The sequence below is a fragment of the Homo sapiens genome, chromosome 2 (genome assembly GCF_000001405.40).
Source record: "Homo sapiens chromosome 2, GRCh38.p14 Primary Assembly".
In the NCBI taxonomy this organism is placed as follows: Eukaryota; Metazoa; Chordata; class Mammalia; order Primates; family Hominidae; genus Homo; species Homo sapiens.
Genome location: NC_000002.12, coordinates 112,083,333 through 112,098,591, shown reverse-complemented (window position 1 = coordinate 112,098,591; position 15,259 = coordinate 112,083,333). Strand labels below are relative to the sequence as shown.

At 40.9% G+C, this 15,259-nt stretch overlaps 1 protein-coding gene across 4 annotated transcripts in view, besides 1 other annotated feature; it reads right to left on the bottom strand.

Moving 5' to 3' along the window:
* The window catches only part of TMEM87B (transmembrane protein 87B), a 64,046-nt gene that overhangs the window by 20,723 nt on the left and 28,064 nt on the right, over positions 1-15,259 (bottom strand). For 2 of the 4 annotated variants that reach the window (NM_032824.3, XM_005263827.3), the window contains exons 9-13: positions 12,488-12,587; positions 8,874-8,967; positions 6,809-6,880; positions 1,440-1,548; positions 1,301-1,359 (exon numbers count right to left, since the gene is read on the bottom strand). In NM_032824.3, coding sequence (NP_116213.1) covers positions 1,301-1,359; positions 1,440-1,548; positions 6,809-6,880; positions 8,874-8,967; positions 12,488-12,587 — 434 coding nt within the window. Of the gene's footprint in view, positions 1-1,300; positions 1,360-1,439; positions 1,549-3,292; positions 3,365-6,808; positions 6,881-8,873; positions 8,968-12,487; positions 12,588-15,259 lie in introns of all 4 variants that reach the window. The other 2 variants (NM_001329914.2, XR_923049.2) reach the window with 2 other exon arrangements.
* Positions 11,132-11,221: an enhancer, noted in NCBI's record as "active region_16390". NCBI's record gives its function as "activates an Ori minimal core promoter by ATAC-STARR-seq in GM12878 lymphoblastoid cells {active_cell/tissue: GM12878}" and the evidence as "EXISTENCE:reporter gene assay evidence [ECO:0000049][PMID:35858748]".

Sequence of the window (15,259 nt, the reverse complement as noted above, 5' to 3'; positions counted from 1 at the left end):
AAAGAAGGACAATTCAAGCATGAAACGTTAATTTTCTGATAAGCATATAGGTTTCCCATTCAAATAATGTACAATGACAAGTACTAATGAAATCTTTCCAACCAGTAAGTCTTCCAAATAAACAAGCACATATTTTTTCAAGAAACCTATATTGTTCAAAATGTTTCTAAAGGGTTGTTTAATGTTACAAATATTCCCTGCCATAAAATTTTTGGGTTAACAGAAAGATTTCAAAATCAAAAGATGCAAAACATATACTTAGGATTTCAAATGGCAAATACTAAGGTCAGAAGGCCCAGCCTCTTCTTTTATTAAATTGTCTCTAAGGCAGCAAAAGCTCTGGATTTTCAGAGGGCTTTTTGTGATTATTTATATGGCACTAGAGACTAGCTCCAAATCTCAACAAATCCCCAAAAGAGGACCTTTCATATTCTAAGTCTAAGAATATATCTTCTTCCAACATGAGAACCCATAGAAAACATCACTCGACTCGGGAGGCTGAGGCAGATAATTGCTTCAACCCGGGAGGCGGAGGTTGCAGTGAGCTGAGATCGCACCACTGCGCTCCAGACTGGCTGACGGAGTGAGACTCATCTCAAAAAAAAAAAAGAAAACATCGCTCGAATGCCCATACTGAACACACGATCCTAGAAACATGCCAGTCTTAAGATTTCTAGTCCATCTAGATACAAACCACTCAATTTCATGGTGTGCAGGAAGAAAAGGATTTCCTGTTAGGGTATACAGGAAGAGAATTTATTTTCAAAATATATAAAAAAAACTTGACAAAAGGGCATAATAGGAAAAGGAGATTTCGGAGGAACTTTTTCAGACTCACTTGGAGGAGTTAAAAGTTTTTTTTTTTTTTTTTTTTTTTTTGAGATGGAGTCTCGCTGTGTTGCCCAGGCTGGGGTGCAGTGGTGCAATCTCAGCTCACTGCAAGCTCCACCTCCTGGGTTCACACCAGTCTCCTGCCTCAGCCTCCCCAGTAGCTGGGACTACAGGCACCCGCTAATTTTTTGTATTTTTAGTAGAGACGGGGTTTCACTGTGTTAGCCAGGATGGTCTCGATCTCCTGACCTCGTGATCCGCCTGCCTCGGCCTCCCAGAGTGCTGAGATTACAGGCGTGAGCCACCGCGCCCAGCCAAAAGTTTTTATAACTCTGTAAAAAATAGTTCAAAGTAAAAACATAAATCTCCATTAAAATCACCTCTATTTGCAAGCATAAACTAAATTGTTCAAAATTCTACAAAATAGTATAAATAAAAATAACTGTTTAAATAGGAAGGTTATACTTACTGATTGGCATTTTGCAATTCTAAATGTCTTAGTTGTCCACCCCATAAACACTATAGAAGCTGAAACACACAAAAAGTCACCTTTGAAGGAATATAACAATACTAAGATAATTTACTGTAAGAAAAATTAAATAGCTTACCCAGCACAGCAAAGATCAGAGTATTTTTAAAATGTCTATATAATGAAAATTTCACAGTGTTCTTTCTTAGCCTTAGGGTCTTCATAGTTTGTGCCAAACTAATAAAAATGTGAAAAAAGTTAAGGAAAAACATTCCAAGTAATAATAAGAGGTTAAAAAAAAAAAACAGAATCTTCTACTATGTTCCCAAAGTCAGTACTGCTAAATACAGTTCCTAAAATTTGAAGCTAATGAAAACACAGAAAATGTTATCTTGGCCAATATTGTACAATCATTATACTTTATCACAGATTTTCTTTTACAATTTACCATTGTCTGAACTAAGAAAACAAACTCCAAGGAAAAAACACGGAAGACCCATGATGCGTTCCACCAATGCCATGCACCCGCAACACGGGATAGAGCAGTGCACGCACTAAAACCCCTCTAAGTGAGACACTCTTTACAGATCACATTGTGACATGCCATTTGGCTTGTGCTTTTCTGGCCCTATTTCTATCTTATTTTGATCTTTCCAGTCTATTCTCATTTTATTATTTGAATAACCATAATTAAGAGGTTAGGTCATCTACCAATTCCATTTTATAAATTTTAAAACTAAAATTCATCAGATGAAACAAATCTGGACTTAGTTAAGGGCTTTATTTGAAAGATGACTGCAACGGGGGAGGATTACTGCAATAGGAAGAATACTACGACTATAAGATCTGCAAGAGTCTCAGAGGTCAGGCAGAAAAGGGTTTTTCTTTTATAGAGCACAGCAAACAAGGATAAAAAGCAGTAGGTGTGGGGAGTGAGTGGTGGGACTAGACACACCGATGAGGGAATGTCTTTTCCTGAGGTCTGCAGATTCTCGGGAGGGCTGTGTATTGGCTCAGGCTGACGGTGAGTCAACGTTTATGGCCTGGAGGAAGAAGAATACTTACAGTTTGGTTCAGTGTTTTGTTCAGATCGATCAGTGGATATAAAGAGTTCATCTAATTATTCGTGATGCAAGGAATGGGAACTCAGAGGGTCTGTGCCCGGCCTTGTCATAGGTAGACAAGCGGGCCTCCAGGAGTCTTACCTAAGTCCAGTGGGGAAGGGGGTTCTCTGAGGTAAGTCTTTTCTCGGAACACAAATAGGGAAGGGGGTTTGGAGGGGGGTGTCTTAATCTTGGCTGTTTTCCAGGAGCACAGGGCTCAGGTGAAGTTCAACATTGCCAAGGATGAAGAAGCAAAAAGAAGACTTTTCCACTGACTCCTCAGCAGTGAAGCAGAATTCAAGCCAGCTCTCTCTGCTCTTAAATGAGAATTCCTTCCTCTGGAGCAGACCAACAAGCTTTGTTTATGAACCAAACACTAAAAATAACAGAGCTGAGCAACAGAATGGATGTGGCAAGTTTTAAAAATTTTAAATATGTCATTAATAAAAAACTTCATTTTAGTACTAAAGCTACTTTAGTACTTTAGTACAAAACTGCTTTTTAATCTTCTAAATGACCAACAAATTACAAAAGATCAATTTCTAAAGCAATACAATACAACCAATTCAGGTTACTATGAGAACTTTAAAAATGCAAATATACTTTATTCCTTAAATACATCAAAACATATACTTTTAACAATTCTTGACTAAAACCAAATTTCTAGGATTAAAAAAAAATCTGGTCTGGTTTAATAATTTTAAAAAAATGTTTTTAAGCTAAGGAATAAAAAGTAAATTTGAAATTGCCTAAGCCTCCACTTACCAAGACACTGTTAAATTTAGGTAAAGTGTAAATCATTCCTGCCATGGAAGGAAAGTAGTCATGAAAACAAATAGCCCTTCTGATCCTGAAGTGAGAGCGCGCTGCTGTGGTAGGAAAAGGATATCCACCAGCACAAGCCAGAGTCAAGGAGAGAGAGGGGGAGGCTGGCCAGAAGAACAAGATCAGAATCACTCACCTGCAGCAAAACAGCAAAAAAAAAAAAAAAAAAAAAAAAAAAAAAAAAAAAAAAAAAAAAAAGAAAGAAAGAAAAGAAAAGAGAAACGAAAGAGAAACAAGAAGAAAAAAAGGGGAGGAAGGGCCACAGGAGAAAGGCTAAGGCTATGGCTTTTGAATTTTTCAGCCTATTTTTTTTCCTATGACTTTAGAATTAGATTCTTAGAGGATTGGTTATATTAAGTTCATCAAAATCAAAGGAAGCAGGGTCATTTTCCAAAGCACTCAATTGTATACGTATTTAGTTCTGCTTTTTTTTTTCTTGTCATTTATATCATTTAGGAAATCTGCTATCTTTCTGTATAGAAAAAGCAGACATTTCATTTTAGTGATAAAAATTACCAAAGAGCAATCTGACAGCAAACTTCACAAATTCAGGCTCATGCAGAAATAGACACTAGACTTCCTTTGTCTCACCATGAAACACTAAAGATCTTTCACATTTTAGATTTCTTTGACTATTCCCTGAAACATTTTCATTATAAATATTCATAATTAAGCAAACTAAGTCTTTCATCTGTTTTCCTTATTTTCCTACCCCAATCTGACTAATCAGATACTGGAATGTGTGAAAGTCAATGCTGTTCATAAAGGTAATAAATTACCCCCACTCAAATCCAGATGGATTAGAGCCATCAGAGCTGCTTTTCTTTGGAATTTTCTGCCAAGCTGCATTACTAAGTGTTTTTCCCAATGAACTACCTTGTGGATGGTTAAGAACAAGAAATCGGCAGGGCACGGTGGCTCACGCCTGTAATCCCAGCACTTTGGGAGGCTGAGGCAGGAAGATCACAAGATAAAGAGATCAAGACCGTCCTGGCCAACATGGTGAAACCCCGTATCTACTAAAAATACAAAAAATTAGCTGGGCGTGGTGGCGCACGCCTGTAGTCCCAGCTACTCGGGAGGCTGAGGCAGGAGAATCGCTTGAACCTGGGAGGTGGAGGTTGCAGTGAGTTGAGATCACGCCACTGCACTCCAACCTGGTGACAGAGCGAGACTCCGTCTTAAAAAAAAAAAAAAAAAAAGAACAAGAAATCTTTGAAATAAATATCTATAAATTACCAGAAAAGATAGTTTATTTTTTAAAAAACGCAGTCTGCAGCTTAATTAATTGAATGAAGGACCATACTCCCTAACTTGTTAAAGTTCCAAGCATACACGGTTTTAGAAACAAGACAATTCTAAATTGAATAGATATAATCAGCTCATTTTCTAAACACACAATGACAGAAAATAAGACAGTAAGATCTAAAGATAATCTGAGGTCAACAGGCAGGTTCATCTCCACTGTCATTCTGCCTATCCCAGTGCAAGGTATGTTTATACCTCCTGCCCATTCTCAAGGCAGGAGAGTCCCCTTAACAAGCAGTCCTGTGGGACCTACAGACTTTGTGGTGAGTACTCTCTCTTATCACTGGAACACTGCTCACATGTAGAACTGAGGAACAGACTTCACATTTTTAGCAAATGAATGTCTTTAATTTTTTTTAACATAGAAAATATGAAAATGACACCAGAGGAAGATATTTATATTACTCTCTGAGAAAATCAGATTTATTTAACTATAATTTTATTCAACAAACTTGGATTCTGAACTAGCAGCTCTGAACAAAGTAGAATATGCTTTTTTAAACAAGTTCAGTCAGAAACAACTCTTTAGATCAGTTATTATTCCCTAAGTAGGCTCCTCAGACTCCTAAGATGTCCACAGATATAATTTGGTAAGTCTTTAACTGCCCTGTCATGCAAAGCTCCTTGTGTCTGTGTTCTGTGAAGAGAGGCTCCACAGCTGTTAGCAGATTTTCCAAGGCATGTCTGATCCTAGTACCCAAACAAGGTTAAGAATCACTGCTTTGACGAGTGAGGACAATGAATTACAAATTTTAGGTTTGTAGCACTCTTCATAGGCTTTTTAAGTTGGAAGCATATTGAGAATTCACAAACAGGGAATTTAAAGAATAGGTAGACCCAGCTTAGAAAACAACCCACAAGTGGCTCAGAAAAGCCTATGAGGAGTGCTACATTTGCCAGCACACCTGAAAAATGGGAGACCTTCCTTCTAGGGCATAGTGATGAGATCCAAGCCCTCTGGCCCTTCCTATGAGACACATAGATGAGAAAATGGAAAAAGATACAAGAAAAACAATTTTTTAAAAAAATTAATGTCAAAAAGCTAAAAGACATAAGTATCAAAAACAGAGGAAACAAAGAACTTGGCAAAAAATGAAACCTATCTAACAGGAAAGCACTTCAAAGAGGACATAAATATAATAGAAACAGATCCAAAGAATGTTCTGGGATATGCATAACCCTGCATTCCACTCTGGTCAGTCACATTTTCTCTAGAATTCCTCCCATTTCCACAAGTGCCCCCATGAAGAAAAAGCAATGGGATTCCCCAGACTCAACTTGAGTCATCGAATCAGAGAAGACCCTCGAGGATCCAGTACTTACTGCCTCTAAAACTTCTCCTGCAATATGGCTGCAGCCCCTAAACCTTCTCTGAACCTGCTCTCTTCCACCCATTTCTAGCAAGTCTATCACGTGGGTTCTTCTTTCCATATCCCCTACCCTACTTCTGACCCTCACCATCTCTTCTTTCGACCACTGCAAAGGCAAAGGAATACTGACTCACCTTCCTGCCTCTAGACTCTCCTTTCCCACGTCATCTTCTTCTGTCACCAGAGTTCTCACTGACACAGGTTTCATCACATTACTCACCTGTGCAGCTTCAATTCCTCTCCAGCCCCTGCCTCTGGAAGGCACTCAGCTCTTGAGCATGCCCTGCCACCCTTCCCTGAACCGCCTGCCAAGGCTCTCCCATGCATGTCCACCCAGAGGCAGGCTTCCCTGGACATTCTGCCACTGTCCCCCTCTGTTTTCCTGCTTCAACCATTTGCTCCCCTCCGTTCTTCCTAGAATACCTCTTCCCTAATTACCTCCTTATTAATAGTAAACCCCTACTTGTCTTCCCAGTCTCAATTTAAATGTTGCCATCTCTGTGAAGTCTTTCCTGATTTTTATGCCAGCATTAACTTCTCTCTTCCCCTGTTGGCACAGCACCTCTCTAAGATGGCAACTACTACTGCTATACTGATGCCAGTTATGTATCTGTCTCCCCTACAAGACTGTGAATCCCTTAAATTTAGGGACATCTTTTTCACCCATGCCTCGTCAGTATGGGGCACATACTGAGAATGAGCACTAACTGTTTGCTAAACTACATAGAAAAAATAAAGATATTCCTTGTTTGGGTAGTTGCTACTTTTTCACCTTCAAGTGAACCCTCGTATTAAGGTAACAAAAATGCATAACTGTATTTCTTTCTATTGTTATTACAAATTACATGTAATCTGATTTTCATGATACAACAAACTATTTTGAAGGACACAGTAAAGGATATGAACCACACAAAAATGGAGTCAATAACTGCTAAAATAATGTCATCAAGAACAACAGCTAAATGGTTAGAACCCTGAAAGATAAAAATAAGGGAAGAAACCTGAATGTAACACTTTCATTGCACTATAGCAATTATCATTTGATGAAGAAAAATAATTTAGCTTATCTCATTACTTTACAAAGCCACATAAAAGATTTAATTTCCTAAGAGGATTGTGTTTAAGCACATGGAAATGACCTGTTTTTGATAGCAACAAGTGCTAATTTATGTGATGATAGCAACATAAAACTGTATTATGTAATGGCAAATAAAAAGCATCGTGTCCCCAACCTCACTAACACCAGCCATTTCAATCTCTCTCCTCCATACCAAACCGACAGCCAGGGCTATTAATGAAACGAACTCCCGATCTTTCCTGACTGTGTTGTGAAGGGACACAGAAAAAGTGAAGGGGGGGATCCATGTTAGACATTTACTCTGACTAGTCACCTTTAAAAGTCACTATCTAAGATGTTGGCTATGTAAAATTTTTTTTTTTTTTTTGAGATGGAGTTTTGCTCTTGTTGCCCAGGCTGGAGTGCAATGGCGCAATCTCAGCTCACTGCAACCTCTGCCTCCCAGGTTCAAGCCATTCTCCTGCCTCAGCCTCCCAAGTAGCTAGGATTACAGGCGTGTGCCACAAAGCTATGTACAATTTTAAAGGAATACAATATATATGGTGTATTTACATGTGGGATATTTATCTTTTCTATTTCCTTCTGGCAAGTATTTATTATTATTATTATATGAATGCAGAGTTCTTCATGATCATACAAACGTGGAAATAAATATACTCAAAGACTAAAAGAGCATCTAACACAGAATGCAGGTGTATCAAAGACAACAGGGAGAAGAATGAGGCTTTTTAGCACTATTGGATAAATATTTATGATCTGATTTATACAGCTAATCCAAAGACATTTTAGGTAAAATGACAAAGGTCTTTGGATTAGGTAAGATATAATAAGCTTCTTAATCACTCAATCCTCAACCATTTATTCAAAAAACTGAAGCAACCATGAGTGGTAGCTCATATCTGTAATCCCAATACTTAGGGAGGCTGAGGTAAGAGGATCACTTGAGGCCAGCCAGGAACTCAAGACCAGCTTGGGCAACATAGTGAGACCCTGTCTCTACAAAAAATACAAAAATTAGTCTGGTGTGGTGGCCTGCACCTGTAGTCCCAGCTACTCGGGAGGCTGAGGTGGGAGGACTGCTTAAGTCTAGGAGATGGAGGCTGCAGTGAGCCATGATCATGCCACTGCGCCACTGCACCACTGCACCCCAGCCTAGGCAACAGAGCAAGACCCTGTCTCCAAAACCAACCAACCAACCAACCAACCAACCAACCAACCAACCAACCAATCAACCAATGAGACAACCAAACAAAAAACCGCACAAAATAAAAGTAAAAAAACTGAAGCTAGAAATCTAGGGGTCTTTGCAGACATAAATACTGATACTTCTCTAGAGAATAAAGTGCTGCTGCCCACATCCAGAGTCATCTTCCCCTTGAACATCACTTCCTCTAGGCTTTTCCAATGGTGGGGTCTACTGAATCCTCAAAATAGCTAGTCCCCAAGAGTCAGAGAAAATGAATAAACAAATGAGACTTAAAAGAGTGATGGAATGTACTGTATGTATACCTGAAGGGTGTAATTAACTTTCTGTTCACTTGATACATTTTAAAATCCAGGGTTAAGAATGATATTAAGGTATACCAGCTGCATAATGATAAAGACAAATGTTCTCTATGAAGAACAACCATGAACCTTTCTGGGATGGGACTGATACCTGGGATGATATCAAGCGGTGCCTTCGCAATCAGTCATATCATTTTAAGAAGCACTCTGTCTAGCCTTTGCCTTTCAGGAAGTATTTTAAAAGGGAAACATCCCATAGAAGAAAAGTTCAAATTGGGCCTTTTTCACAAGTTTCTATCTAAAAATTCATCTCAGGAGATACAAAGTAAAACCACATTTCACAGCAATAACAAAAAGGGGTGGTAGAATAATGTAGTTTTTACCCCAATGACTCTCATCACGCCTTCAACAGCTGCAAAGATTAAGTATAGAAGCCCCAGTCCGATCACCCGGTGCATGACTGTTCCTAAACGAGGCCTGGAATCAGGAAGAGGAAACAGAGAAAGAAGAAAAAGCATGGGTGAGTAAAATGCACCTGAATACAGTAACTGGCACCATTTCCAATACCAGGAAGTCACTATCTAATCACATCAGTCTGTTCCCGGCTCTGAGGTACTTTGTTTTAGGAAACAGGCCCAGGAACAAAGGGTCTCTTTCTCTAGGACCTGAAGCTATACTGATGCCTTTGAAGCAATATTTGGAGGCCACAAAGGTGCCAGAGGATTTTGCTGCTGAAATTCAAGCAACAGAATGAATATAATTCAGGTACTGTTTCTATAGAATGGAAGAGTAGGTTGATGAAATCTAGGAAGGTAAATGCCAACTTCTAAGTGCCACTGAGAAGTCTAACTTAATTCTTCCTGAGGTCTGTCTTTTCAGAGATAATTCACTTGTCTCATGACTTGGGCAGAGGAAGAGCAGGACATGAGGAGATGGAAGTCCATGACCTCCTTTCTGATCACCAGCTCTTAACCAGAACAGGAGTGCTAACAGAATTTCATTTTCATTCTTTAAACTGAAAGAGTTAAAATAACATTTTTGGGCGAGGCGCAGTGGCTCATGCCTGTAATCCTAGCATCTTGGGAGGCCAAGGTACGCACATTACTTGAGCTCAGGAGTTCGAGACCAAACTGGCCAACGTGGTGAAACCCGGTCTCTACCAAAAAAAGCAAACAATTAGCCGGGGGTGGTGGCTCGTGCCTGTAGTGCCAGCTACTTGGGAGGTTGAGGCACGAGAATCGCTTGAACTTAGGAGGCAGAGGTTGCAGTGAGCCAAGATCGCACCACTGCACTCTAGCCTGAGCGAGAGTGAGACTTTTGTCTCCAAAAAAACAAAAACAACAAAAAAAATTTTTTTTGGCTCTTTCAAAATATAATTGAGTTGGGAAAATACAAAGATGGTGGTTTTTGCAATTAATAATTTAAAATAGAATAATTTCATGATATTTGCAAATCAGAATTTATTGCACATACATTTAAGGCTGCTCAAAAACCCTCCTCTCAGAGTAATTAGAAGAAAAAAACTGGTTTAAAAAAATATTTAAGATAGTCAATTCAAAACAAAATATAAGTAAAAAATTAAGTTAGTGGTCATAGCTCATATTTAATTAAGACTATTTACCTAATCTAAGGAATCTAAATTCTGATTCATTATAATCAACTAACCAGAACCTCCAAATAACCAGAACTGTTACTGCTCTCACTTTATGAGTTGAGCCGAGCAAGCTAACAGTGAAGGGATTCATTTAAAAAGGGTTTGTATCTGTACCCATTCATTTAATCTTCTATTCCTTTCACAGTAACAACACTGCACCTGTTGGTATCTGATGTTCATAACCAGAGCTGTGAAAGGTACTGCAAGATTCCTCAACAAGAGGCCTTCATTTCCTACACTGTACTAAGAACACAAAAGGCATTTGAGAAAGAATCTCCAATAAAAGTCCAGGGGGATAAAGGCTTCCAGGATAAAATCCTGCTAACTCCCCAATCCCCAGCTCACAAGCAAACGGGCACGCACACAGGAGGAGAGCCTAGGGGTGCGAGTCACAGAGCAGAGGCCTGAGCCTGGGCCCCCGGGGGCCGGAGCTCAGGAACACAGGAGGGTGCAGCAGAGGAGGCTGGGGAGGAGTAGCCAGTGATGTGAGAGGATGGAAGACGAGCTCCCAGAAACCAGGCAAAGCTGGCACTCCTTAAAGCTGCTCACGGGACAACTGGACGAGGGCTGAGCAGGGCCATGTGATATGGCAGGTGAGGTCATGGTGGCCTTGACAAGAGCAGTCTCAATAGAGCAATACTGGGGAGGCTGAGGTACAGACTACTCATGTGAGAAGTTATGCTGCACAGGGGAAAGGTGAATGAGGCAGAAGTGGAGGAGAGGGCCATGTGGGGTGGAGGGAGGGCTTCACTTTAAAAAATGGTAGAAATAACGAGATGCTGATGGGGGTGACCCACCAGAGAGGAAAGCTGACGATGCAAGAAAAAACAAAACCGAGCACTAGGACAGTTTCCCTCACAGTTGAGTGGGCACAAAGGCAGGGGTGGCCCGTGACTATCAAGAAGAGGAAAGTGGTTCATGCGGTCCAGATGTGGGGGAAATGACAGGGTCTGGGGGCACAGATGCAGTGGAATTCCCCTCTGATGGCTTCTACTTCCTCAGTGAAAAAAAAACCGAAGGTCAGGGTAGAGTCTGAGAGAAAGGGGTAAAATGGTCTTCTGCAGACAGGAGAGTGAGAAAATAGTGGCAAGGGGATTGAGTACAACTGCCAGCAGCACTGAGGGTGCACGTGAAGTTTAGGGTCATGAATGGCAAGTAGGCCCCCTCAGTGTGGTCCAGGGCTCTTTTTGGGCAAATTCCCCTGCTCGGGTGGGAGCCTGAGGCAGAAGGAAAGCTGGACTTAGCAAGGCTGGGGTTTTGTCAAGAAGGTTGACAAAGAGAAAGGCAGGGGTCTTTGGGTGTCAATGTCCTGCTGGACCAGGGAATCCAAGCAAAAGGAAGAAGGTAAGGATATAAGATGGGGAGGGACAACGGAAGGTGCCAGGGTCAAAAGGCTGGAGGCCAAAGTATAGTCGAAAAAGACTGACACCGACATGTTAAAGAAAGTAACAGGAAACAGAGGAGGTTGACAGTTGAAAAGTGGATTGCTTAAAATTGAGATTTTGAAGAGGGTGCAGTTATATATATAATAAAGTCTAGAAAATGATACTGGGAATCAGTAGCTGAAACATGGTGATGGGCAAGAGCAGGAGAGGTGGGGAGGTGAGGTCAGGTTACTTAAAGGGTCATGCACATGGCTCCTGAGACCCCATGGCCTTCTGACAGATGAAATGCTGAGGACGACACCTGTGAAGCCAGTGCCCACAGAGCTGAGGAATGAGGGAGGGTCTGGAAGCTCACAGTGACCACAACAAGATGCAGCAGGTGACCCAGCCTGAAGAGTGAGCTTCTGGGAATCAGGGTTTTAGGAAAGAAGCAGGAAGAAAGGTCTGAAAAAACACAACAAGGATAGAAATCAAGTTCTCCCATAGTTATGCCCAGTGATTCACAGGTGAGAGGAGGAAAAGACCCGCCGGAGAAGGTCCAGAAGCAGAGTCCTTGAGGGACAGACAGGTTTCAGTCAGAAGTTTTGCTGACTTGGTGTTTAATCCACTCTCTCTTCCAACACTCAGATAGGACCATAAAAGCTTAATGATACTGTCTAAATAACAGAAAAGGGTTTGAAAATGGTTTGAATTATTTTAGATTTTCCATTATCCTTAAAGTTGATTATTTATTCATCTAACTATATAAAGTTATTGAAATAAAAATTCAGGGTCTTTATTGGAAGATAACATAAAATAGCAAGTATGTGGAAATCTTTTAAAAATGTGTTCTTGTAGATTTTTCCCAAAGGGATTTGTACTACAATACTTAGAAGTTCCATTTTCACAAAGGTCATAATGTAGACGGACTGAATCACTGGGCTGGGACCCAGCATTTTTCCCACACGCCAGTACTTACTTCACAATGCCATAGCCCAGGCTCACAATGATCACGAGAAGGCGAGCCAACGTCCTCTTAATCGCAGAAATCAACTCCGCAAATATCAATAAGCCTTGGGCTGAGGAAGAAAAAAATAAAATAATTCACTTTGTCTACACCTGGAAGCCTGCCAACCAAGATTCTCAACAACATGTCCTGTGTATAACTACATTCGAACTTCAGACCAATCAGCCACATTTGATTTAAAAGTCACTGAATCCAACTGATGCTTGAAAACTTCAGTGAAGGATTCATACTCGCCTCAAGAATTCACTCCCTATCTATCTAATCTGCTCCACTGGGCACAGCTTTCTTCTATCAGCCCGAACACTGTCTCCCTGAGCTTCCCTCTGTTCTTGCTCTTTACAGAACTCTCTCTTCTTGTCCTGTAAATATTTAAAAACCACAACATCCTCTAGAGTTCTCTTTTCTCCAGGATCTCCTCATCATGTATTCATTTAAAATGTATCTGATATGCTCCTACTGTGTGGCTATAATAGTGAAAAAGACATCTTGATCCCTGCCTTCATGGAGCTTGTACTCTGGTTAGGCTAAGTAAATAGAACTCAGTGTGGTAAGAGCAAGAGGTAACACATCATCCCTCCAGACTTGGAAGAAGGCCAGTCTAATCTACACCTGGGGGAACTAGAATTGGGTCCTGAAAAACTCAGAAAAAGTGACATCTAAATCAGGACTTGAAGGCTAAGTAGGAGTTAAGTATTTGGGGGTGGGGGATGACAAAGCAAAGAACACGGCACGTGCAAAGGCACAGAGAAGAAAAGAGGAAAAGCAAACTATGCTGCAAGAAGTCAAAGTTCATTATGCCTGCAGCAGAGAGTGTAATGGTAGATGTCAAGAAAAGAGGCTGGTCATAAAGGCAGGGACCAATCATGCAGTTTGGAGCCCCTGTCATGGAGTCTGGACTCGATGTTAAGGGCAGTGGGAAGTCAATAACAATAAACAAAAGAACAAAGGAGGGATTGGTAAACTATGGCCCATGGGCCAAATCTGGCCCTACATCTGATCTGTTTTTGAACATAAAGTTTTATGGGAACACAGCAATGCTCATTTGTTTGCATGTTGTCTATGGCTGCTTTTATGCTTTGATGGCAAGGGTGAATAGTTACAACAGAGACCATATGGCCTGCAAAGCCAAAATATTTCCTCTATGGCCTTGACAGAAAAAATGTGCTGACTGCTGGAATAAAATGGATGGCTTTATTTTATCAAGATTGCTCTACCTACAATGGTTTGGAGAGGAACAAAACTGCAGGCAAGGAAAATGCTCAGGAGACTATTCCAGAAAACTAAGAGATGATGAGAGTACCGGCAGTGATCACAGAGAGAAGCAGAAAGATTCAGAAAGATATTCAGAAAATATGGTGGCAAAACCAGTTGTGAATCCATCTGATGTTTTCAGTTCACACTGTTTTCAGCTCCATCTTGCCTGCAAGAACTCACAAGAGACCTTGTCAAATGCCTCGAAGATAGATCTAGAACTACAGGCAGAGCAAGAAGCCAAGAAAGATGTGAAAGATGGTCCTGAGGTCTCCTGGCAGTATCATGCAGCGAGAGGAACACCTGGAAGGGCAGCAAGTGTGGGCTGGGGCGAGACCGCCACACAAAGGCAGAAAGGATGAGCTCCCTTTTTGCCATTCAGAGGTTGAGAAGATTGCAAGGCATTGAGAAGCTGTTTTGTAGGTGACTGGATATATATGTCTGTAGCTCAGGATAGAGAGTTCCACAGGAGAGAAAGCTTTAGGAGGAAAACAATGGATGAGCTCTCCGAAAGAGTGCAGAATGTAAAGAAGGGGTTTATCATCACAAATGTTGAGGGATGAGTGTGCTGTCAATCCCTCCATGGGCTGTCTATACTCCTCTTGAGGTAATGTGACTACAACGTTTCTGGTACAGTGTGGCCTGTACAGCAAGATTCTCAACTTTCCTTCCAGGCTCCTGCTGCAATCTGAGGTTGTGGGAGCTTGTGGGAGGCAACTACCCTATTATTGCCTATGTTGAGTTTGCTTTTCATCAGCTTCAATTTTTAAATTCTTTTTAAAACTTTTCCATTGGTATTTTTGCAATTTGTACTCCAAACCTAAGTTCAAGATCATCAGATTTCACCTTTCTATTCAGCATGTCAACTCTCTTGCCTCTCATCACATATCTTCAAGTGAAAAGGGTCTATCTAAAATGATTCTCTATGCCCCTAAGTATTTACGACCCTGGCCAGCCTCACATCATCCACAAAATTTAAGAGAATGCTGTCTACATAGTCACACAATAAATGTTAGTTGAACAAACCAACAGATTCACAAGAAGAATAAAACAGCAACAAGGCCTAAAATCTGAGAGAGACACCATTCAAAGCCTCCTAGCTCAATGGTTCTCAACCCTAGATGCATATTGGAATCACCTGGAAGCCTCTACACAGCCCCACTTCCTAGGTCTGCCCTAATCAGACTCTCTGGCACTGGTACCATTTTAAAGTTCTTCAAGTGATGCTGATGCAAAACCAGGGATGAGAACCATTGCTCCAGACCAGTGCTGTCCCACAGACCCTTTTGCAATGATGGAAGTGGTCTACCTCTGTGCTGTCCAATACAGCAGTCACTGGTCACCTGTGGCTACTGAGCACTTGAGATGAAGCTAGAACAACTGAGGAACTTAATTTTTAATTTAATTTAATTTTACTTAAGTACCCAGATGTGGCTTGTGGCTACCACAGAAAACAGCAGCGGTCTAGACTGA